The sequence below is a fragment of the Homo sapiens genome, chromosome 22 (assembly GCF_000001405.40).
Source record: "Homo sapiens chromosome 22, GRCh38.p14 Primary Assembly".
NCBI classification, from domain to species: Eukaryota; Metazoa; Chordata; class Mammalia; order Primates; family Hominidae; genus Homo; species Homo sapiens.
The window spans coordinates 42,789,306-42,814,263 of record NC_000022.11 but is presented as its reverse complement, the minus strand read 5'-3'; the positions used below and the strand labels follow the sequence as shown (position 1 = coordinate 42,814,263).

Here is a 24,958-nt window from a genome sequence, read left to right as displayed (position 1 = left end):
CTCTTATTGCTTTCAAATTATTCATTAGCCCATTAGAACTTGAACATTATGAATTATGAAAGAGTTCTGTTTCTGTTAAAAATAAGATAAAACCTGTCCTTGTTTTTTTTTATTATTGAGTTCCATTATTTCTAGGATATAAACAGTATAATTATATATTGAGTACAAGATAATGAAACTAGAACAATTTGCTCAGCCTTATAAAGCCAGCATGGCCTTAATTAGAATAGACAACTGTCTATAGCTCTAAATCAGAGCAAATGTGATATTAGGGTGCTCTTATCAAGGGATTTTAAGGAATGTTTTCAAGATTGGGTAAAGACAGAGTGGGAGGGGAAAAATAAAAGTAAAAAAGCATTGAGAGCTATACAATCAAAACATTAGAAAGCCAATAAAGGTTTGGAGATGAGGAAGGAAAGTCTGTGTGTTTCTGAGCAGGGACTAGTGGCCGTTAGTCGTCCCACTCACCCCATCCTTCCAAAGGTCAGCTGGAGTCCTGGCTGGTGGTCTGTCGGTCCTCTTAGTGAGTTGCCAGTCCTCCTACTGAGTTGCTCCTGCTTAGCATGAGCACAGAGAGCCTCTCGTGGATGACTGGAAGACAGAGAAGCCGCCAGCCAGCCCACGCATGGACTGCTGCCTCACAGGCTCATGCTGGTCAGGGGGACCCAAGCCGATGGCTGTCTCTCTTCTTTGACTTCTGAATAGTTCAGTCACTTAAAAGTAATCTGATTCCTCTACATTTCAGGATAAGTACATTGGCTTATAAGAATGAAGAATGTTATTTCCTTAGAGTGTTGCTAAATCTACAAAATTTAGTATCACAGAGTCATGAAGAACCTGGAAGTTCCACCCCACCCTCACCCTGCACCAGTCCAGTGCTGACCCCCCTCTTCCCACTCCAGGGCAGTCCAGCCTCTACTACACCCTTCCTTCTCCTCAAGGCAGCCATTTGGTCCCAGGTCAGCTCCGTGAGAAACTCTGCCTTTCATTAATGCAGCTTCTGAGGCTTCTGCATTCAAGTCAGCCTCCCTTCCATAAGTCAGTTCCCAAGCCTCATGAGGGCAGGAGCTGAATGTGTCTTCTTGCCCTTTGTCTTCCCCTAGCAGAGTGCCTGACTCCTCGTAGGTGCTTATTAAGTAGTTTTAAAATTCCTCACTGAATTGATCTTAGTTCTTTCATGGTGCCTTAAAATAAGTCCCTCAAACATGTGAATATCACCTTGCAGGCCAGCACACATCCCACATCTTTTGAACCTTCCTCCGATGTAACTTCCGGTTCCTTCAGTGTCCTGATCTCTCTTCTCTGAAAGGGGATCGGTCATCTCTCTTCCTCCAGGCAGAGCCTGGGTGCAGTACAGATCCACTCATCCGCCATAGGGAGAGCCTGGTCGGTTTCTAGCTGAAATCCAGATACACTTTGAACACCACGTTTTCCTTCCTAAGGAGTAGATGCTAGTGTCATGAGATTTGTTCTTAATGACCTTCTTGCCAGAGAAGGCAGAAGCCACATTTAGAAATTCTACTTTCTGTCTATTAAGGATGTAATATCATACCATCTGCTCCAACAGCAGTTTATCCTCTGTCCCTTTTTTGTTTCGTTTTGTTTTCTGCCAAGAAAGAGTAAATGTGTTCTTAGCATTTCCCCCACCCAGATCTTAGCTCACCGAGGTCCCTGGCCTCTTTGCTCTTATGGGTTCTTGCTTCCCTCTTATATTGGCCTTTGGTTACTGGCCCCTCTGACCTCCTATGATCTGCATCTTCTGTGCAACTCCTTATAGCACGGAGCTTGGTGCTCATCTTATTTCCAGTGTGCTTCCTGTCCTTACTCTCTGGAGAAAACCTGGATGATGTCTGTTAAGGCCTCTGCATTCTCTTCTGTCACCCTTCCTTTCCTAAGACCTCCCTGGGATCTGCCTCTCTCCTCTGAACTTCTTGGACTGCCTTAATGAGGTGTGTATATCTGGCCAGACTGCTTTTCCATCCTAAGCTATCGTGAATTCTGGCATGGCACAGTCCCTTTTTTTTTTTTTTTTTTTTTTTGAGACAGTATCCCACTCTGTCACCCAGGCTGGAGTGTAGTGGCATGATCATGGCTCACTGCAGTCTCGGCCTCCCAGGCTTAGGTGAGCCTCCCAAGTAGCTGGGACTATAGGCGTGCCACCATGCCCCATTAATTTTTTCTTTTAATCCCCGGAGATGGTCAGGAAACGGTTATTTTATTTGTTTATTTATTTTTTATTTTGCATTTTTTGTAGAGATGGGGCTTTGCCATGTTGCCCAGGCTGGTCTGGAACTCCCAGGCTCAAGCAATCCACCTGCCTTGGCCTCCCAAAGTGCTGGGATTACAGGTGTGAGCCACCGTGCCTGGCTGGTTGATGGTCACTTTTTCTCAAGGTTTTGGCACATCCACCTCGCCTGTCAGTCTCTCCTGTTCCAGGCAGACCTTGCTGCTCTTGGTCAAAGATTTTTCTCTAATCACACAGGACCAAAAGCCAACACTGAGTGCTGCTCTCTGAGCAATGCCCTGCTCAGTGACAATTGGCTAATTAAAGTGTAAACTGATCTGAAGGCCAGGCTCTCCTGGGATGCTTGCAAATCAGATCAAGTTTACTGCAGGCTCCAGGCTGAAAGACTATCCCCAGAATGGTCCAGTGATCATGATCCATAGCTTTGTATCCAACTCCAGGAGGAGGTTAATGAGCATCATTTACATCATTTTCATTGAATGTGCTTAACACGGAAGGGATTGCCAACAAGAAGCTCCTTGTATGGAGTCAGTTCTCTAGGCCCAGCAGTGTTATTTGTGATTGCCTAACCAGGCGGAATGAGACCTAAAGACAGTGAAATGTGTAACCTGTGGTAGATAACATTTAAAGATGCCCTGTGTTGTCTGGATAGGCCAAGTTATACTAAGGTTATAAACATCCCCCAGATCTCAAGGGCTGAACACAATGACAATTGATTTCTTTTTCACATAAAGTCAGCTAAGGGTTCAGGTGGTTCTCTAGAGTACCTGTCCTCCATGTGTCATCTTGATTGTCCAGACTGATGGAGGTTTCACCTACCTGAGACTGTAGCACCTGGAACACAATCTCTTCCATGTAGCTTGGGAAGAGAGGACTGGGCAAGGTTGAACACAGGTACTTGAAAGGCCTTGGAAATGACACACCTCGTGTCTGCTCCTGTCTCATTGGCTAGACCTAGTTATGTGACTGCCATTAACTTCAAGGAGGCATCCCCCACATCTGTGGAAGTGAGAGAGCCCAGGACGAGTGTCAACAAGGACCTCCAAAGTCACTGTTGTACTCTTGCTCCTACAGTTACTTTGACGAGCCAGTGGAGTTAAGGAGCAGTTCTTTCTCTAGCTGGGATGACAGTTCAGATTCCTATTGGAAAAAAGAGACCAGCAAAGATACTGAAACAGTTCTGAAAACCACAGGCTATTCAGACAGGTATGAATGCAAAACTGTGGGGTTGTAGTAGTGAATCCATGCATTTCTGGGAAAAAATTGCTGATAACATGATGACATGAAAACCCTTGTAAGGGGCTGGGCACGGCGGCTCATTCCCATAATCCCAGCACTTTAAGAGGCCGAGGTCAAAGGATCACTTGAGCCCAGGAGTACAAGGCTGCAGTGAGCTATGATCACGCCAGTGTACTCTAGCCTGGTCAACAGAGTAAGTCCCCCTCAAAAAGGAAAACCTTTTGAAACCTTTTGTAAGACTAGTAAATGATTTTGTTCTACTATTTCAGGAATATTGTTTTGATTTTGTTTTTTTGTTTTGTTTTGTTTTATTTTTGAGACAGAGTCTCACTCTGTTGCCCAGGCTGGAGTGCAGTGGTGCAATCTCAGCTTACTGCAGCCTCCGTCTCCCAGGTTCAAGCGATTCTCCTGCCTCAGCCTCCCGAGTAGCTGAGACTACCGGTGCACACCATCATGCCAGGCTAATTTTTGTACTTTTAGTAGAGACGGTTGCCTCACCAGCCAGGCTGGTCTCAAACTCCTGACCTCAAATGATCCGCCTGCCTCGGCCTCCCAAACTGCTGGGATTACAGGTGTGAGCCACCGTGCCCAGCCTGTTTTGATTTTAAATTACTGATTCTAAATAGGAAGTGCACATCAGAATCCTCTGTGGACCTTGAAAGAAATGTGTGTGTGGAGTCCTCTTCCCTGAAGATTCTGATCCATGGGTCAGGGGTGGCCTAGGTCAGGAAGGTTTCACCTTTTTCCCCAATTTTTTTTTTTTTTTTTTTTTTTTTAAGATGGAGTCTTGCTCTGTCACCCAGGCTGGAGTGCAGTGGTGCAATCTCAGCTCACTGCAAGCTCCGCCTCCTGGGTTCACACCATTCTCCTGCCTCAGCCTCCCGAGTAGCTGGGACTACAGGCGCCCGCCACCACGCCTGGCTAATTCTTTTGTATTTTTAATAGAGACGGGGTTTCACCATGTTAGCAAGGATGGTCTCGATCTCCTGACCTCATGATCCACCCGTCTTGGCCTCCCACAGTGCTGGGATTACAGGCGTGAGCCACCGCACCCGGCCTTTTTTCCCCCAATTTTAAGGTATTATTTACATATAGTAAAATTCATCTTTTTAAACTTACAGTTCTGACAAGCACATACATTCATGTAATTACCACCAAAACCAAGAAACAGAACAGTTCCCATCACCCCCAAATTTTCCCCATGCCCTTTGTAGTCCCCCCTCCCCTGCCCCTGGCCCCTGGTCACCCCAGGTCTGTTTTCTGGCCTTACAATTTTGCCTTTCCCAGATATCATATAAATGGAGTCATGTAGCAATTGGCCTTCCTACTCTGGTTTAACTTGTCTTAGTACACTTGGGGAAGACTCATTCATTCTTGTATTCATTCCTCTTACTTGCCAAGTTTATCCATTCACCTGCTGAAGGGCTGTCTCCAGTTTTTGGTGATTATGAATGAATTTATTTTCCAACCAGAGGACTTCTGAGAGTGCAAGGGGGTACTACTAATATGTTGGGACAACAGGTGTGACTTGAAATTGTCCCAGGTAACTGGGACATTTTATAACCTATACAATGTAGAGAGAGCAGTGTCCTATGGACATTCCAAACAATGTATTCAGTGTTTACCCAGTTGATCTGAAATGTGATATAACATATTTGAACTGAAATGTGAAATAACAGACCCCGTTTTAAACAGAAATTCCTTCAAATTTTGTATCGTTTGGGTATTTATTCTTTTTTTTTTAATTAGAATTTTCAGGCTTTTAAAAACAGCCTAAAATCCTTTTACAAAATTTACTGCTGTTGGCATTTTAAAAAATAAAATGAGTATGAAACACATTTGCTTCACCTCAAATTAGTTTAACCTAATTTGGCTGTTTTTAATTGCAGACCTACTGCTCGCCGCAAGCCAGATTATGAGCCAGTTGAAAATACAGATGAGGCCCAGAAGAAGTTTGGCAATGTCAAGGCCATTTCATCAGATATGTATTTTGGAAGACAATCCCAGGCTGATGTAAGGGTCCAGAGAGTTTCTTTGGGTGCCCCATAATGCAGGAAGGAAGTGTGGGTGTGGGCATTGTCGGGGAGGAGATCCTGAGTGAGCTGGGCTCAGGCTGCCAGATGCCCTCTGGCCTGAAAGTGCTGGAGTCAGGACTTGAACCCAGGTCTGTATAACTGATCATGTGCTTGCTACCTCAGCAAGAGGAATGTTTACAAGACAAGGACTTATCTCACAGTTGTCTTATTCCTCTCTTGGTGTTTTGAATAGCCATTATCCAGTATCTTTTGAATATATTTCAATTGTTGGTGCAGCTGTAATTTACTTAATAACTTTTAAACATAGTGAAATGAAGCACATAGATATGTTTCTTTTTTTTTTTTTGAGACGGAGCCTCCTTCTGTCACCCAGGCTGGAGTGCAGTGGCATGATTTCAGCTTACTGCAACCTCCGCCTCCCAAGTTTAAGCGATTTTCCTGCCTCAGCCTCCCAAGTAGCTGGGAATACGGCCGTGCACCACTACACCTGGCTAATTTTTGTATTTTTAGTAGAGATGAGGTTTCACCATATTGGCTAGGCTGGTCTTGAACTCCTGACCTCAGGTGATCTGGCTGCCTCGGCCTCCCAAAGTGCTGGTATTACAGGCGTGAGCCACCACGCCCAGCCAGATATGTTTCTGAGGAGTGCATATATTTATTTTCAGGTTGTTGGCTTTTCTCAGAAATGTTAATGAACTTGGCCAGGCACTGTGGCTCACACCTATAATCCTAGCACTTTGGGAGGCTGAGGCAGGTGGATCACTTGAGGCCAGGAGTTCGAGACCAGCCTGGCCAACATGATGAAACTCCGTCTCTACAAAAAATACAAAAATTAGCTCGGTATGGTGGTACGCGCTTCTAGTCCAGCTACTTGGGAGGCTGAGGCAGAGAATCGCTCGAACCCAGAAGCAGAGTGAGACTCTGTCTCAAAAAAAAAAAAAAGAAAGAAATGTTAATGAACTCATCATAGTGAAGTCTTGCTAAGCTGTAAGACTCAAGTGGAAGTGGGGAGGTTTACGTCTTTCCTCTCATCCTGAATTGCTAGTGTGCCTCTGACTATTTGGATGATGGTTTCCTAAAATGTGCTGAATGTATTTTGCAGAAATTTAAACTTCTGCAAGTGTAACATTTCGCCATCATTTCGAAAGTAGAATTGCCCCTTGCTGTTCCCACAGTCCATAAAATCTGCCTTGCTTCAAAGTTGACATTCAAGTTCAGTTTTAAAATAGTGTCATGGGGCTTGGAAAAGAGACTCTTAGAGTGGCCTTTGCTGACAGCTGGCTAGAAGCAGCACCAGGAGAGAGATGCCGCTCTCCCTCCCTCACTCCGACGGCCTCCGCACTGGCCATCGTGGCTGAGGTGTTGTATGTTGATCAGTCTGCCTGTGACCTGCCTCCCATGCAGAACATGAGCTTTGTGCTGTCCCGCAGGACCTGGCCTTGGCAGTGGCATTCAGTAACTGTTGGAAAGAAAGAGCCTGGGGGTCAAACACTTTCAAATGACAGCTCTTCAGTGATTCTTTTTGCAAAACTGCCCACAATCTTTGGAGCCTAACATTTCCTTTTCCTTGTCTTCTCTAGTATGAGACCAGGGCCCGCCTAGAGAGGCTGTCGGCAAGTTCCTCCATAAGCTCGGCTGATCTGTTCGAGGAGCCGAGGAAGCAGCCAGCAGGTAGGGGGCACTGAACAAGAGCTGGTCTCTGTCATGTCTACGGTATGAACACATTTCATCTGGATAGGACTGTTTCCTTTTCCAAGATATTTTAGCAACCATTATTCGATGCTCTGATCTCTGCTATAAGTCAGGTAGAGCAGAAGTTACTATTCCAGGCTTCACACGTAAGGAGACCAAGTCATGAAATTAAAGCAACATCCCATCATTGCCTGGCAAGTCATCCTTCTGAACACTGTCATAGAGGAGTGTTTTCTAGCTGAGTGCGGCTGTGCTATGAAATACCATGTGCTATCTTAGCCTTAGAGGTGGACAGCGCCGGGCTCCCGTGTGATCCTCACCACCCTCTAGCTGTGAGCCCTTGAGGATGTCATGGTGTCTTTAGCCTCAGTCTCCTCCTCTGTAACGGGGGTGGATAAAACCACCTCACAAGGTTGTCATGCGGCTTAAATGAGCAATGTGAAGTGCCACCAAGTGTCTGGCACACAGCAGGCCCCAGGGGTGGGCAGAGGCAGATAGAAACATGTGGCTCTAACAGCATCTGTCTTCTGGGGAAGACAGAACACAGCTTTGGGAGTGAGCAGGTGGAGAGGAATTGCCTGTCTCCCATATCCCTCTTCAGGGTTCAGACCCCAGCGAGGAGGTGTCTGGTCCTCCCAGGGCTGGGATGGCCTAGGATGGGGCGGCCTGTGAGCCCAGTGGTGGGCCTCAGAGCGCCGGCCCCTCTGCTTCGACTTCCCCTCCCCCTGACTGAGGGATGCCTTGTGAGAGTACCCTACAAAGGCCTCTGCCAGGCCACAGTGGGGAGGAGGGGCCCTGTGGTTAACGTGAAAGGGGCAGCGTCCTCTGAGGTCATTTCAGGAAGCCATTTATCAGCAGGAGAGCCAAGGGGAGGGATGACTCTCAGGAGCCAGGCATTCCAAGCCTGGCACCCTCAGCATCCCTAGGCCTAGAGGAGCTGGCTGTGGCTCTAAGTGACCAACCTAGGCTATCACTTGGCCTTACAGCCACAGAGAACAGCTGTTTTCAGAGTCCAAAGAGAAACAGCTCGAGAGAGGTCTGAGTGTCGGACATTCTGGGTTGTGGTTTGGGGATGTTATAGAGACACACTGTGGCCCTCGGGGTGCAGTGGGCACTGCCAAGTTGCTGTGCTGCAGTGGAGGGAGAGTCCTAGCCAGGTGGCAGCAAGTGAGACAAGGGTTGTGTTGGCAGAGCAGCTGGCAGAGAGCCAGGCAGCCCAAGGAGCCAGAGGCCAGGGCCAGAGTGGACAAGCCCCGGCACATCCGCTGCCAGTGAGAGTGTGAGGGTGCCTGGGGGTGCGCAGCCAGGGCCACGGCTCCCCTGAGCCACTCTTTGGTCAGGAGCACACCCTGTGCCTCACCCCAGACTTGAGCAGAGGGGCCTCGTTTCCCTTGGGCAGTCAGTTACTTGCTGACTGGGCATTTCCTGGCAGTGAGTCTTGGTGGGGGCAGGTGAGGCTCATTGGCTTGTTCCATCTCCAAACTTTCAGTGTCCTGGCCTGTTGTCAGGGCAACTTCCTTTTGTGACCACCCCTGGCAGAGAGGCACTCCGGCCACCTTTGGAGACCTCCAGCAGCCCCACAGGTCAGTGCTGGGTCGCCTTGTAGGGGCCCTGGCACAGCCAGCAGCCGGTCCAGAGACCTGCATTGTTCAGTCCCCTGACTCCCTGCAATGGATGCCTTTGTAATTTAAATCAATAGAAGTTTTACTCTGAAGCACTGTTTGTTTTTTTAAAAAAATATTTGGAGATCAAATGAGAGCAGCCTTTCCAGTTACTGAACAAAAATAGTGGCAGCCTGTGTTTACCTTCCTGTTCCCTTTCAGAGAACAAAGATCCATTAAATTTTTTTGACCCTGTGTGGATGCCAAACCAACCCTGGTTCCTGGCACCTCGTGGTCATTGTAAGGTGCACCCTGGGGTGAGAGGCCACCCAGAAACTCACTCCCCTGCCCCCGCCGGGGTCTAACTGTGTTGCCCAGGCTGGTCTCAAACTCCGGGCCTTGAGCAAACCTCCCTCCTCAGCCTCCCAAGAAGCTGGAATTACAGGCACCAGCAACTTTTATTAAATATTTACTTTTTATTATTCAGAGCATATTTCAACAAAGAGCTTTGTGTGTTCTGCCTCCATAAAGCTTGTTTTATTTTATAAATTTTTTTTTCTTTTATTTTGTCTTTAATACTTTCCTATTGAAGTAAAAGCTTGTTTTAAGAAAACAAGTTCTTAAAACTTGTTCTGGGCAAGGCACGGTGACTCACACCTGTAATCCCAACACTTTGGGAGGCCGAGGTAGGCGGATCACCTGAGGTCGAGAGTTCAAGAGCAGCCTGGCTAACATGGTGAAACCCCATCCCTTCTAAAAATACAAAAATTAGGCCAGTCACAGTGGCTCACGCCTGTAATCCCAGTACTTTGGGAGGCCGAGGCGGGTGGATCACGAGGTCAAGAGATCGAGACCAGCCTGGCCAACATGGTGAAGCCCCATCTCTACTAAAAATACAAAAACTAGCTTGGCGTGGTGGCATGTGCCTGTAGTCCCAGCTACTCCGGAGGCTGAGGCAGGAGTATCGCTTGAACCTGGGAGGTGGGAGTTGCAGTGTGCCGAGATCACACCGCTGCACTCCAGCCTGGAGACAGAGCGAGACTCCATCTCAAAAAAAAAAAAAAAAAAAAAAAATTAGCTGGGTGTGGTGGTGGGCGCCTGTAATCCCAACCACTCAGGCGGCTGAGGCACAAGAATTGCTTGAACCTGGGACGGGGATGTTGCAGTGGCCGAGATCGCACCATTACACTCCAGCCTGGGCAATAGAATGAGATTCTGTTTCAAAAAAAAGAAAAGGAAAAAAGAAACTATTCTGCTTGGTGGCTCACCCCTATAATCCAGCACTTTGGGAGGCTGAGGAAGACGTATCGCTTGAGCTCAGGAGTTCCAGACCAGCCTGGGCAACATGGCAAAACCGTGTCTCTACAAAAAATACAAAAATTAGCCAGGCATGGTGGTGCACACCTGTAGTCCCAGCTACTCTGGAGGCTAAGGTGGGAGGATGACCTGAGCCCAGGAGGCAGAGGTTACAGTGATCTGAGATCGTGCCACTGCACTCCAGCCTGGGTGATAGAGCCAGGCCTTGTATCAAAAAAAAAAAAAAAAAAAAAGAGGAAGGAGGGAGGGAAGGAAGGAAGGAAGGAAACAATCAGTTCTGTGTTCCTTATCTTAATTTCCAAATGTGAAACGCTTCTGGTGAGGTAAGCTGCTTTCTGGGGGTGTTTCTAGCCCAGGAGACCTGCGGCCGTTCTTACGGGCACTCTCTTTCACTGTAGCTGAAGGATTGAGTGGGAAGCGCATGTAAGTGCCTGCAGCCAACCTGACCTGGCACAGCAACAGTCCCTGTGGTCACACCCATGGGACAGGGTCATTAGAGCTGGGGGACTGCCATCAGCTGGGCACTGCCTCAGGCAGGCGTGAGGCACTCAGACACCAGATGACAGAGTGGAGGCAGCTGTGTGAGAGCCAGGATACAACAAAAAGCTTAAAACCCAGCTGCCCCCTCAGCATGTTTCCTCCCAGAAAGCCAATTCTGATTGTTTGAATGAGAGCACGTCTGCATGGGAGTGCAGACACCTGCACCCCTTCCTTGTGTGCATCGTGGGGTCAAGTGGTAGGTTGTTTGTGAGGTCCCTTAACCACTGTCTCCTTTTCTCTTTGCTCCAGCCCAGGGTCTAGGAGTGTGACCTCGAAAGCACTGCCCTCAGTCTGCATCAGGCAGTCTGGTTTGGTTATTGCCATGTGTGCTTGTCAGACAGTATAGCTGTGCAGTGGCCCCAGGAGTTCCAGACCAGCCTGGACAACATAGTGGGACCCCCATCTCTACAAAAAATTTAAAAAATAAAAAAATTAGCTAGGTGCGATGGCTAATGCCTATAGTTCCAATTACTCGGAGGCTAAGGCAGGAGGATCACTTGAACCCAAAAGATTGAGGCTGCAGTCAGCTGTGATCACACCACTGTACTCCAGCCCGGGCAACAGAGGGAGTCCCTGTCTCAAACAAACAATGCCCAAACTTGTTCTTATAATCTTGGAAATACTTTTTCTCTTCATTTGTCTGCATGAAGCAGAGAAATTAATACGTGGTATTCTATTAAAAATTCTTATTTTGGGCCAGGTGTGGTGGCTCACGCCTGTAATCCCAGCACTTTGGGAGGCCGAGGCGGGCAGATCACGGGTCAGGAGATCGAGACCATCCTGGCTAACATGGTGAAACCACATCTCTACTAAAAATACAAAAAATTAGCCAGGCATGGTGGTGGGCGCCTGTAGTCCCAGCAACTCGGGAGGCTGAGGCAGGAGAATGGCGTGAACCTGGGAGGTGGAGCTTGCAGTGAGCCGAGATCGCACCACTGCACTCCAGCCTGGGCAACAGAGCAAGACTCCATCTCAAAAAAAAAAAAAAAATTCTTATTTTGGGCCAGGCGCGGTGGCTCTCGCCTGTAATCCCAGCACTTTGGGAGGCTGAGGCGGGTGGATCACAAGGTCAGGAGATTGAGACCATCCTGGCTAACACGGTGAAACCCCATCTCTACTAAAAAATACAAAAAAAAAAAAATTATCTGGGCGTGGTGGCGGGCACCTGTAGTCCCAGCTACTCCAGAGGCTGAGGCAGGAGAATGGCGTGAACCTGGGAGGCGGAGCTTGCAGTGAGCTAAGATCGCGCCACTACACTCCAGTCTGGGTGACACAGCGAGACTCTGTCTCAAAAAAAAAAAAAAATTGTTATTTTGAGGAGCCTGGGAGTTGTCCTGGAAACTTCCACCTCCCACGTCACACCATAGACCCATATGATCAGAATCTCTCCTGGGTGACTCCAGACCTGAAACGTGGCCACAACCCGCTGCTTGGTCCTCCTGCCTCCAGTCTTGGCTGCTGCTCACCCCTCTCCTCACTCTTCCCACAGGGATCTTTCAGAACACAGTCATCTGTGCTGAAAATCCTGCCCTCAGCTTGAAGCACAGCTCCCCACCCAATGCCCACCTCCAGGACCATGGTTCCCACTGGCCTTTCCAGCCTCATTTCTCGTGATTCACTGTTGTGGCTCACTCCAGCTGTGTTGAGCCTGTGGAGCCCCCAGCCCAGAATGCTCTTCTTCCCCATTCCCCCAGACAGCCCCGCAACCCGTATTTACCCTGGGGGCCTGGTTAGGCCCCCTTGCACCACTCTTGTGCCTTACACTGAGGGCAAGACCATGCGAAGACCGTCTCCCCCAGTGGACTGTCAGTTCTCATTTCTGTGCCCTTGGCGCCTGACAGCCTGGCAGAGGAAGCCCTCTGCAGGTGTTTGAGGATGAATGGGTGGAGGGGTGATGAATGACCCCAAGGAGCTTGCTGAGTCTGAGCACCTGCCCACCGGCCAACATAGGCTGGAACACGCCTCCCCCTACCTCCCATGTCCCATGGCCAGTGCCAGGCTGCAGGGGCGATGTGTTCCGCCTCCAGCACAAGCCTTAAGAGCTGTGCGCATGTTGCCATGTTTCTTTCCCTGTCATAGTAGGCAAGGAAGCTGGAATTAAGAGGTGGCCCCATGGGCTTGGACCGCAAGTGACTGTGATGCACAGAACCCCCTGCCCACCTGCACTGGGCACAGCAAACATCAGTTGTGGGTGGTTGTTAGCTCAGAGTCACCTGGCCTGTCCTGACCCATCCAGGGCATTTGCCCCAACCACAGACCACTGTGTAGCTCAGTGTCCCCTCTGTCTCAGAGAGGGGAGCAGCTGTCTTCTTCCTGGCTGCCCAAGCAGAAACCTGGGAAACATCCTTAATCCGCCTGCCTCTCAGCCTGCCTAGGCCAGTCAGTCAGTGTGCCTCTTGACACCTGCCTCCTGAGGACGCTCAGCCCGTTCCCTCCTGATCCCCACTGCCGCCTCCTCATGCTCAGGCACCGCCCCATGCACCTGGACCCCTGCAGCCACCTCCCAGCTGTCTACCTGAGTTTGCTCTGTGTCCCCTCCAGATGACACAGGTCACACTTTAGTGATGTTATCAGTTAATTGTCTGCTTTCCCCAGTAGGTGGTGAGCTGTGGAAAAGCAGGTCTGTAGCTGTGTCCTCAGTACACACTGTGGGTGTTCTGGGAAAAGATAGGGAGGAGAGATTCCCTGGGTCAAGGACGCTCTTCCTGAGCAGGTGGCTGGAACTGTCATTTCCTGGAGCTCATTGTGTAACCTGAGCACACTAGGGCTGTCTTTGACCATGGCCACCCGGCCCCTCCAGCCTGCCCAGGCAGCCCTCAGAGGAGACACAGCACCCCAGTCCCATCACTGTGTTGGAATTACACTCTGTCATTGGTGAAGGCCTACAAGATTTTAGACAGTCAGCTGGAGGTGGAGATGGGAGGACCTGCATCTGTGGTGGGCATGGGAACAGTGCTGGGGGCAAATGCAGTGTCTCTTCCAAGGGACACGTTGCAGGGTAACTTGTCAGTTCTGTTTTATTCTCAGAGAGGGACTTGACCAAGGCTTTCTGTTTTTGTTTTTGAGATGGGGTCTCGCTCTGTCACCCAGGCTGGAGTGGGGTGGCACAGTCTTGGCTCACTGCAACCTCCACCTCCCAGGTTCAAGTGATTCTCCTGCCTCAGCCTCCCAAGTAGCTAGGGTTACAGGTGTGTGCCACCATGCCCAGCTAATTTTTTGTATTTTTAGTAGAGATGGGGTTTCACCATGTTGGCCAGGCTGGTCTTGAACTCCTGACCTCAAGTGATCCTCCCACCTCAGCCTCCCAGAGTGCTGGGATTACAGGCGTGAGCCACTGCGTCTGGTGGGTTTCTGTTTTGTAAGGAGCAGGTGGTGTCATGTGGGGCTTAGGGAGTAGCTGGGCGTGGCTACTCCTGAGGACCTGCAGGGTTTGTGTTGAGCTCACTGAGCCCCTCCAGCGTCTTATTACAATTGTGACACAGAAGTTTATGAACCCCTGATTGTCAGCTCTAGGAGTGTGGTCAGACCTCCTTGATGTGTGATAACCCTGATGAACTTCACCCAGATTGGTAGCAATTATGGTGATGTTTACATCAGGGCAACCAAAACTTAAGCAACTAACACTTAACAAAACTAACAACTAACAAAACTTAGGGCCACTAACACCGGCCCTAGCAAAGAGGGTGGAAGTGTGAACTTCTGTACCTGGGAAGACTGGCAGTGGAGCTTGGCTTCTAAGTCACAGTCAGACAGCATCAGTGATGCATCTATTTGGCTCACCTCCTTGGGGGAGGTAACAAGCTTCCTCCATACCCCAAGCGAGTGGGAGGGGCAGTCGTAGTCACAGATGGCTGCTGCTTTGCTTTGTCCCTGCCAATAACCCCAGAGCAAGCAAATGGCTCTTCTCATTTGAGGATACATGAATCCCTGGGAAGGCTCTGATTGGTCAGGCCTGGGTCATGTGCCCATGCCTGTGGACAGGGTAGAAGGGAGAGGTGGTTCCTGGAGGAAGGGAGGAGTACTGTTACCAAAAGAGGGAGGAGGTGATGAGAAACAGGCCATCCGTGTTGGCCCATCTGCCTTTTGCTGGGTACTTACCTGCCAGGGCTATGTTAAGCACCTTGAGGAAATGGGCCCAGAGAGAGCAAGGAACTTCTCTAGAGGCACACAGCCTAGAAGTGACAGTGCCAGGATTTGAACTCATAGTGGTGTTAAGTCCCCCATACTACATTTTCTGTCGTGTGGATTCTCTCATGTGGATCATGGCAGGGCTGCCACTTCAGCCCGAGTCTCCATCCCACTGTTGGGCCCCTTGTGAGGCAGCAGGAGGGGAGAGATCCGGGTTCTCTGGAGCCGTTGAGCACTCTGGGTACTGGGTTTGCCGCAGCTGTGGCCAGGGCAGTGATGAGACAGTGTCTGCTGTGTGTGTGCAGGGAACTACAGCCTGTCCAGTGTGCTGCCCAACGCCCCCGACATGGCGCAGTTCAAGCAGGGAGTGAGATCGGTTGCTGGAAAACTCTCCGTCTTTGCTAATGGAGTCGTGACTTCAATTCAGGTCAGTGGAATGGGGCAGTGCTCACTGGCTATGACGGTAGGTTCAGCAGTTTGAAAATGAGACCTGCTTCAATCTTCAACTGCTGGAAAATTCAATTATATATTATTGGATCGATATGTTTGCTACACTATAACCCAGAACATTATGAAAACCAGAAATTATAATTTTATATTTAATATTTTCTAACGGATGACTCTAGGGGAATTGTTAGAGGAATTGTCATGACCATTGTCCAGTTTTTTTCCTAGATTGGAACAGAGAAGTATTAAGAAGAAAACTGAAATTATCTGTAATGCCACATCACAGGGATAACCTCTGTTAATATTTTGGTATATTTTTAGCTCTAGATTTCTAAGGATATTTTTCTATACGTAGATTAAAAAGATATACATATCTATCTTTTTAAAGTTAAAAAGGGATTATATTGTATAGAGGGTTTTATATCTTGCTTTTTCTCTGTGATGCTGGGAGCATTTCCTTGTAATGAAAAGTTTTCCTAAAACCACATTCTATTGAGTGAAAACATAAGCCAAGGATGGCGCATACTTGCGCATGAGAGTCGAGGCCATCTGTGACGATATGAGTGGCTCGTTTCTTTGCACCTTCTTGTTTACGTCAGGCTATTGAAGAAGGATTGTATTAATGTAAAACGCTGCTAAAGGAAGTAGGACTGAAACCGTGTGGACTCTGGTGCCTCCAAAGGAGATTCCTGGTCCCCAGGCAGATGCTGCTCTAGCTGCAGTTCAAGGAGGGCGTGGAGGTGCACCCATTCCGGAGAGTTCCCTCAGCCCCAGGACTCTGGATGTAGCCGTTTTCATGCTGTGAATAGCACAGTCTTCCCTTTCATGTGGCACTGAAGTTAAAATGCATAGAGCTCTTTCATGTCCCTTAGGTCAGCTAAGCCCACATCAGTGTCCAAATAGGTAACATCCCTATTTTATAGATGGTCATCCCCATTTTAGAGATGGCTCCCTTTTATATCCCCATTTTACAGGTGAAGGAATTGAGGCACAGAAGGTTAGGTCACTTCTGCAAGATGACCAGCTGAACCAAAATTTCAGGGCTTCAAACACCAAATGTGTTCCTTTGTCTTCCGTTTCCCACTTGCTTCCCAGAGGGCTCAGCAAGTTGCCTCTGGCCCACTGAGCATCCTCCCGCCCACTTTGCTCCCTGCCTCCTGATCCCAGGACTGTGGCCGTGGATGCCAGAGGCAGGATGTGAATCCTGTTGGGTTCTGAAGCCCACACCTACCCTCAGCCTTGAAGCTGCAGCAATGGCTGCTTCCAGATGAGCACACCCTCGGGGTGCAGCGTCCATGTCACATGCCTGACATGGGCTGCAGTGTCAATTTGGGTGATGCTGAATATTCAGGGCGTGGGAGTCAGGGATCGCTGCTGAATGGTCGTGAACTTCCATTTTGGTTCTCTCTTCAGGATCGCTACGGTTCTTAATACTGAAGTCATGATGTGTATTTCCTGGAGAAATTCCTCTTTAAATGAACAAGTAACCACATCTCAGGCGGCAGTGAAGTCCAGATAGTTTTGCAGATTGTTTTGCTACTTTTTCATATGGTATATGTTTCTGATTTTTAATATTTCTTTTGAGAAATTCTGAGTTCTGATGTAGGAGCTTTCCTGTGATTTCTGTTTCACGTTCCTTCCTGTCACACCCTCCTTTGGCGTCTCTGTGTATATCCTTGCTTTATTTTCTTGGAACCTTTGATTTCAACACTGAGGGCCTGGAGACCTCGGCTCCTCCTGCTCCTGAACCAGGAGGCTTCATGTGGGGGAGGAGGAGAGGTCTCCATGTGACACATGGGCTCAGGGCTGCCAGAATCAGCGGATGCTGGATGGGCCTGCAGAAACAACACTCACCACACACACTTCCTTCAAAAGACCAAAAGTGACTGGTGTCTCGTGTGACAGATTGCTTCATTTATGTTTCTACATAGTAAGGTGACTGCCAAATAATATTTGAAGTCATCTGTCTCTTTGTAAATTATTTTATATGACCTATAAATTTAAAAATGTTTTTCAGTGAGTGCTTTTAACAAACTTAAGCTTCTGCCCTGCCAAGGGAATTAATGTTATCTTGTGAAAGGTGTTGCTGTTTGAATTGATGAGAAATGGAAGATGAGAACTCCCTAAGAGTTCTCATAATAAATCATCTCATCACAAATCAATACGGTATACAGAGTTAAAGTGGAATGAGGTAAGAAGATACAGCTACAGAAAATAGTTGCGTGTATGGGAGAACAGTCATTGTAATTGGGTAGTTTTGTTAATAAATATTTTTAAATCTTGCTTTTCAGAAATTACCGAATGTGTATAAACAAATAAAGAAAAATAATTTAGCTGTGTTTTAGACAGCATTAGAATATATTGTTCAGCACAGTAAAATATATTTGAAATTTGATAAGCCAAAAATGTGGTTTTGAATGAATATTTTGTGAATCTTTCTTAAAAGCTCAAATTTGTAGACTTCTAAATAGAATAAACACTTGCAGCAGATGGCATTGCCTACATTTTTCCCTGAAAGCTTTCGTAATAAGTCATCGTAAGTCGAGGTTTTTGGTGTGACATTGATGAACGTTTGAATTGTGGTGACTGTAGGTGGACGTGGATTTAGCGTGCGTGCGGGGCCTGCTGTGCAGTTGTGATGAATTTGGGATGTTGTTTGTAGCACAGGAGCAAGGCGGGGTGTCCCGGTTGAAAATGGGGATGTTGGGCCAGGTGAGGCGGCTCACACCTGTAATCCTAGCACCTTAGGAGGCTGGGGCGGGAGGATTGCCTGAGCCCAGGAGTTTGAAACCAGGCTGGACAACACAGCAAGACCCCGCCTCTACCAAAAAAGAAAAAATTCAGCCGGGTGCAGTGGCATGTGCCTGTAATTCCAGCTACTCAGGAAGCTGCAGCAGGAGGATCCCTTGAGCCCAGGAGGTCAAGGCTGCAATGAGCTACGACCTGGACACTGCACTGCAGCCTGGATGACAGAGCAAGACCCTGTCTCAAAAGAAAAAAAAAAAAGAGGAAGGGAGGGGATTGACTCCCCACTCCCAGAGCCTTAGCTGAAGGTGCCTGTCATGTGCCTTCCATGCCCCTCCCCACTGCCCCTCCCCTTCCCCTCGGTCTCCCCCCTGCCCCTCAGTCTCCCCCCAGCCCCTCTCCACTGCCCCTCGGTTTCCCCCCTGCCCCTCAGGCTCCTCATCCCCCTTCCCCCCGCCCCTCAGTCTCCCCACCTGCCTCTCGATCTCCCCTACCCCGTCTCTTAGTCCTCCCCTTTTCCCCTCAGTCCTCCCATCTTTGACACTCAGTGTCCTCAGGGTCTCAGAATCAGGAATCTGAGATAGATAGAGACATTTGAGCATTCCTTAAAATGCTATTAAGATGGCAAAATGGAAACTGGAGAACTCGGCAGATACCTTCCAGAGAGCTAGGAAACCCATTTCATCTACTACCGGTGTCTTTAAATAGAGGTGAAGACTGACAGATACGTTGGAAGCACCAGACATTTTGGGAGTCGTCTTTCAGCAAATTGGCTTCACAGGCGGACCACTGAAGAGTGTATGCAGAGGCTGGTCCCTGTGGGGGCCGGAGCAGACGGGTTATTGTCGCAGGTAGGAAGTCCCAGGTGTACCATCCAAGCTGGCAGGACTTGAGCTGGCTTGCCCTTAACCGCACTGTCCTTGCCACACCAGCCCTCCCCTCCTGCTTGTCACAGATGGCATCCTCCCTTCCAGGCCTCTGCGCAAGAACAAGGAGAGGAGAAAGGGCTGACTCCCAGCGAGGGACTTGTGCCTTTTTCTCCCCAGCCAGAACTGCGTCCCAGGCCCCCCTAGTTGCAAGGGAGTGGCAACGGGGTGTGTTTTCAGCAGGTCCCATTGCTGCCTTGAACAAAATCAGAATCTGTTGGTGAGGAAAGAGGGGGACGGGAGTGGGACTGGCAGCTTGGGGGAGGGACAACTTACTTCAGGACTACTAGGGGAACAGAGAACCGGAGGGGAGCAGAGAAGGCAGAGCCACCAGCAGAGGGGGTCCTGCGGCTGGGCCTGGACAGGCAGTATGGAAGTGAGTGTCCGAGGTGAGGAGTGTGGCCGTGCAGAGGCCCCGGGGTGGGCGGTGGCAGAGGGAGCAAAGGACAGGAGCAGTGGCGAGACTGGTGCCAGGGGCAGGGAGCGGGGCCTGCCCCTTGATGCATTTTCTCGTCCAGGCTTTTCCTGAGCCTGCTAGGAAGGGTGTGGACGGTAGGACAGCCTTGACGCCATGGTTGGGTTTGCAGGCCAGCAGCAGCTGGCACTTGCTGAGCTCTGAGGATGTGTGGGGCACAGGCTGAGCCTGCACGTGTGAGAGCACACGGAGTCCTCACACCAGCGCTTAGAGGCAGGCAGGATTGTCGTTCCCACTTCACAGAGGAGGACACTGAGGTTCAGAGAGGGAAAATGAGCCACCCAAGGCCCCTCAGTCAGGAAGCAGAGGGTCTGGGCACCCAACCCACTAAACTGCCACACTCTGCCACCCTCCAGGGGCAGTCAGAGGGGAGGCTACATTGGAGAGGAAGGGGGTGAGGGCCAGGAGGACAGCGAGGAGGTGGTGGTGGAGGCCTGCCTTTCTCCTGACACAGGCAGTGAGGCACTGTTCTGGGAGGGTTCTGGCAGAAAGGGTGTCTTTGGGTCTCGGGTGGTGGGCATCTGGGTGCCAGGCCCAAATGGATCCCCATGGCCCCTAGGTGTGCAGAGGCAGAGTGTGTACTGCTCGGAGTGGCAGGCAGAGCTGCTGGACGAGGAGCACTGTGACACCCTGGCCCAGGGATGGCGGCCAGAGGGGGTGGTGAGGAGTCCCGCCCTGCCGGGTGAACCCACCCTGACCACACCCCCACCAACTCCCCACGCCTAGGTGTCCTGCGTCTGCCACAGGCCCCTACATCTGGGTTCCCTGAGGCCCAGGGGAGGAGCAGAGGGAGCCGGACTTTCACTCTCTTCCTAAGGCTGAAGCCCCAGCCCCGGGTTGCCGCTCACCCCAGCCTGGGACAGCCGGGACACCTGTGCTCCTCCTCTTTGGGTCCCTGGATGTGGAAATAGGCCTCTGGTCACCCTCAGTTTCCCTGAGGGGAGGGTTGTGGGAGTGGAGGGGCTGAGCCGTGTAACCAGGCTTTGGGGGCGGGACACCGACCTGGGCTAGGAGCTCTGGAGAATCGTCCGCTGGCCTCAGTCCCGGCTCTGCCCAAACCCTGAGGGTCTGGGAGCCCCTCCTGGCCCTCCCTGCTGGTCAGCCTGCCGATGCCACCCATCTGACACCACGCTGATGCCACCTGTGTGCCCTCGCATGGTGGTGGGCAGGGGCCTGGGGGCCTCTCCCGCTGGGCAGTGCTCTGCATCCCAGTGTGGGGCTGGATGAGCAGAGACCCCTGGAGCCGCCCGCCTGTGAACACCATCCCCAGTCCCCTGCTGGAACCCCTTGCAACCACCATGTGCCCCGTCTGTCCACCTGGGCTGCGGGGAACTGGTCTCGGGATGGGAAGGGGCCTGCCTCCAGCTCCCCCCTTGGTCTTGGGCTGCAGGGAGGTAGACGGCCTTCCGGGAGCCCTTATTGCCTGGTACCACAGGTGGGAGGGAGCCTGGGGGATTCCAGGGTCCAGACCCTGACTCCAGAGCCTCAGGGATCAGGAAGCCCCTGGCAAGCTGTGGCCACAGCCATGGCCTTGAGCTGGGCACGGCCAAAGAGGGCTGGCTGGGGTCTCTGCCACTCTGACATCGGGCAGTGGACAGGTTACCCAGCCTTGCCCCAGCGTCCCCTGGCAGCCTGCCTCCCAGCCTGAGCCCCTCCCCTGGCTTCCCTGCAGTGCTCAGTGACATGCAGGGAGGGCACTCAGCACCGAAGTGTCCTCTGCACCGATGACACCAGTGTCCCTGTGACAAGGCCCAGCAGCCAGCCAGCACAGTCACCTGCTCTCTACCACCCTGTTGGCGAATCCTGGACACACTGGGCCCTGAAGGCTCAGGCAGCGGCTCCTCAGCCACGAGCTCTTCAGCGAGGCTGACTTCATCTCACGCCTCCTGGCCCCAAGCCCTTCACCTGCGCCAGCCAGCATGGCAATGCCATTGAGGAGGAGGCCCCAGAGCTGGGCCCACTGGGGCGCGTGTTTGTAGATGACTTCCACTACGACTACAATTTCATTCATCTCCACGAGGATCTGTGCTATGGGCCCTTAGAGGGGCCTGACCTAGACCTGGCAGGGACAGGGGATCGGACGCCCCCACTGCACAGCCGTCCTGCTGCACCTTCCACCGGCAGCCCCATGCCTGCCACAGGGCCTCCTGCAGCCAAGGAGGAGGGGGTACTGAGACCCTGGCCCACTAGCCCTTGGCCCAGCCAGGCCAGCCACTCCCCACCCCCACCTTCAGAGCAGACTCCTGGGAACACTCTGGTCAATTTCCTGCGTGAGGAAGACACCCCCATAGAGGCTCCAGACCTTGAGCTCTCCAGCCCGCCCTGGCCCAGGGTTTCTATTGATGGCACGCAGACGCCTGCCACCCCTGGGAGCCAAAATGACTTCCTAGTCGACTAGGACAGCCAGAACCAGCTGCCCCCTCCATGGTGGGACAGGACCAATGAGGTTTCCAAGGACAATGAGGAACCCGTGGGTCACGGAGCACCCTACCTGCCCCAGAGACTCAGCCCCACGCTGCCCCCTTTGTTCCCTGTCGACAGCACCCACTCCTGTCCTGGTCCTGACATGGTGGAGCTGTGGACAGGAAGGACTGTAGCCTGGGAGCCAGCTCAGGATGGCGGCCTGGGGCCTGTGGACAGTTAGCTGTGGCCCACTGTGGGGGCGGCTCCTCCCCCTCCTCCCGTAGGCACTCTGCCGGAGATTAAGGGCAGGGACAGCCTCCTGGAGCCAGAGACTCCCACCTTCCCAACCCCAGGACCAGGCTCATGGGACCTGCAGACTGTGGCAGTGCCGGGGACCTTCCTCCCCACAACCCTGATTGGCTGCAGGCACACACCCTGGGTGACTGCCCTGAGCCCGAGACCCAAGGGCCAGCCTGAGCCCCTCAGCCCTGAGGTGCCCCTGAGCTCTGGGCTTCTGTCCACGCTAGCTTGGGGCAGCCCCAACAGCAGCAGCAGAGTTCCTGAGGCCCAGCCCCCGGCCCCCAGCCTGGCTGAGACGGGGCCCCCGCGGACCTGCTGGCTGCCAGGAACACCAGCTGGCGAGCGGGAAGCTGGAGCAAGGCAAGTGATGTGGGCTGTTGGGTGGGCGGCGAGTTTGCACGGGACCTTGGTGACTGTTTCCTCATCTGAAAATGAGCAGAGTGGGACACGGGCGCTGTCTGTCCTGTTTCCCTTGGGGCGGGGGTTCCTAGGATTAGGGGAAACTGACAGCTGTGGTAGGTGGAGGCTCCATGAGGTGAGAGGAGCATTGCTCCAGCTCAGCCTGGCCAACATGGCAAAACTCTCTCTACAAAAATTAGCCAGGCGTGGTGGTGGGCGCCTGTAGTCCCACTTACCCAAGAGGCTGAGGGAGGAGAATCGCTTGAACCCAGGAGGCGGAGGTTGCAGTGAGCCGAGATCGTGCCACTGCACTCCAGCCTGGGTGACAGAGCAAGACTCTGTCTCAAAAATAAAAATAAAATAAAATATACCTACTAAGCATCTACCCGTGCCAAGCACTATTCTAGGCACAGGATATAGTGAAAAATGAGATAGACAAACTGAGAAAAAAGAAATAGGATCATTCATTCTTCACTCCCCAATATTATAGAACTAGTTCAGGCCTATTAATGAAATAACTGAGGGCTACGAAAATGTAGCGTGCATAGACTAACGCAGGCACGTGACGAGCATTTACTGAAACACACACTTTGGCGTTCCACCACCAGGCTCTGCCGGCAGCACTTGGTAATGAACACGGCTGCTGCACAGGCTCAAAAGAAGCAAGAGTCAGGGCTGGGTTAGGGCACGTTCAGCCAGCTGTCGTCGCAACAGCTGGAGAGACACTACTTCTGGGCAACTTTCTGGAGAAACCTCAACCTGCTTCCTGAAAGGGCAAGCCAGGCTGAACACCTTCAGTAGAGAGTCATTTGTGGAATAATCCATGACCATCTATTCGCGCTATAGGAAAAGCAGTCTCTTGACAGAGGAGAACCTAGGACAGGGAAATTTTGCCAGGGACAGGGACTCTGAGTTCTGAGGACTTCCCAGTCGCGGGGATGACTTGCAGCTGTGGGTGAATCATGATGGCCACTGATGTTTATTGAATGTGCACTGAGCCTCCTGGCCACCACACCACACAGATTAACTCTAGAATTACCAAAACCTACCAGGTAGGTACCTTTTGTTTTTTGATTGGTTGGGTTTTTTTTTGTTTTTTTTTTTTTTTTTTTTTTGAGATGGAGTCTCGCTGTGTTGCCCAGGCTGGAGTGCAGTGGCCCGATCTCAGCTCATTGCAAGCTCCACCTCCCAGGTTCATGCCATTCTCCTGCCTCAGCCTCCCGAGTAGCTGGGACTACAGGCACCCACCACCATGCCCGGCTAATGTTTTGTATTTTTGGTAGAGACAGGGTTTCACCGTGTTAGCCAGGATGGTATCGATCTACTGACCTTGTGATCCGCCTGCCTCGGCCTCCCAAAGTGCTGGGATTACAGGCATGAGCCACCGTGCCCGGCCCGGGTAGGTACCTTTTCTCCCTTCTATTTTTATAGATGGAGAAACAGACACAGTGAAGTCATAGGGCCAACAAGTAGAGGAGCTGGGATTCTTTTTATTTTCTTTGAGACAGAGTCTCGCTCTTATCACCCAGGCTGGAATGCAATGGGGTGATCTCGGCTCACTGCAACCTCCGCCTCCTGGGATCAAGCGATTTTCCTGTCTCAGCCTCCTGAGTAGTTGGGATTACAGGTGCATGCCACCACACCTGGCAAATTTTTTGTATTTTAGTAGAGATGGTTGGCCAGGCTGGTCTTGAACTCCTGAGCTCAGGCAATCCGCCCACCTCAGCCTCCCAAAGTGCTGGGATTACAGGCATGAGCCACTGTGCCTGTAATCAGGCCTCAGATTTTTTTTTGAGAGAGAGTCTCGCTGTCACCCAGGCTGGAGTGCAGTGGCACAATCTTGCCTCACTGCAACCTCCACCTCCCAGGTTCAAGTGATTCTCCTGCCTTGGCCTCCTGAATATCTGGGATTACAGGCGCGCACTGCCACGCCAGGCTAATTTTTGTATTTTTAGTAGAGACAGGGTTTCACCATCTTGGCCAGAATGGTCTCGATCTCCTGACCTTGTGATCCACCCATCTCGGCTTCCCAAAGTGCTGGGATTACAGGCGTGAGTCACTGCACCTGGCCTGGCCTCAGATTTTTATTTTAAGTGCACAAAATAAAACACAGCAATGTATATAAATCTTGTAGAGTTTATGAAAATATTTCTGATATTACATGATATGCTTTACTGGCACGTTAAATAAGATCCAGAGTTGGGTCTAATTACTATAATTTTGAGGTAATAATGAGCAAAAGTGATATCTCAAGATGTCTGCAACAGCTGCAATGTAACATGAAAATATCTGATTTCTATTGGTAACAAGGTAACAGGTGCTGCTAACACTAATGAGGTTTGTTCCCAGCAACATTCACCATGGAAGGAAATGCTGAATTTCAATTAAAGTGTAGGGAAAATCAAGATGTAATCTCCCTCCTCCTTGTCTCTTTTTCTTTGTTTGTTTTTGTTTTTGAGGCATGG

At 50.7% G+C, this 24,958-nt stretch overlaps 1 protein-coding gene and 1 pseudogene across 3 annotated transcripts in view, besides 1 other annotated feature; both read left to right on the top strand.

Moving 5' to 3' along the window:
* The window catches only part of ARFGAP3 (ARF GTPase activating protein 3), a 60,772-nt gene extending 43,010 nt beyond the window's left edge, over positions 1 to 17,762 (top strand). For 2 of the 3 annotated variants that reach the window (NM_001142293.2, NM_014570.5), the window contains 5 exons: positions 3,320 to 3,451; positions 5,374 to 5,497; positions 7,101 to 7,191; positions 15,104 to 15,225; positions 16,659 to 17,762. In NM_001142293.2, coding sequence (NP_001135765.1) covers positions 3,320 to 3,451; positions 5,374 to 5,497; positions 7,101 to 7,191; positions 15,104 to 15,225; positions 16,659 to 16,676 — 487 coding nt within the window. In that variant the 3' untranslated portion in view covers positions 16,677 to 17,762. The remainder of the gene's footprint in view (positions 1 to 3,319; positions 3,452 to 5,373; positions 5,498 to 7,100; positions 7,192 to 15,103; positions 15,226 to 16,658) is intronic. The other variant, XM_005261525.5, reaches the window with a different exon arrangement.
* Positions 14,427 to 14,721: an enhancer, noted in NCBI's record as "tiled region #9313; HepG2 Activating non-DNase unmatched - State 14:Gen5', and K562 Activating non-DNase unmatched - State 23:Low". NCBI's record gives its function as "activates a minimal TATA promoter and a strong SV40 promoter by Sharpr-MPRA in HepG2 and K562 cells {active_cell/tissue: HepG2 | K562}" and the evidence as "EXISTENCE:reporter gene assay evidence [ECO:0000049][PMID:27701403]".
* Positions 20,562 to 22,454, top strand: ADAMTS7P5 (ADAMTS7 pseudogene 5; annotated as a pseudogene).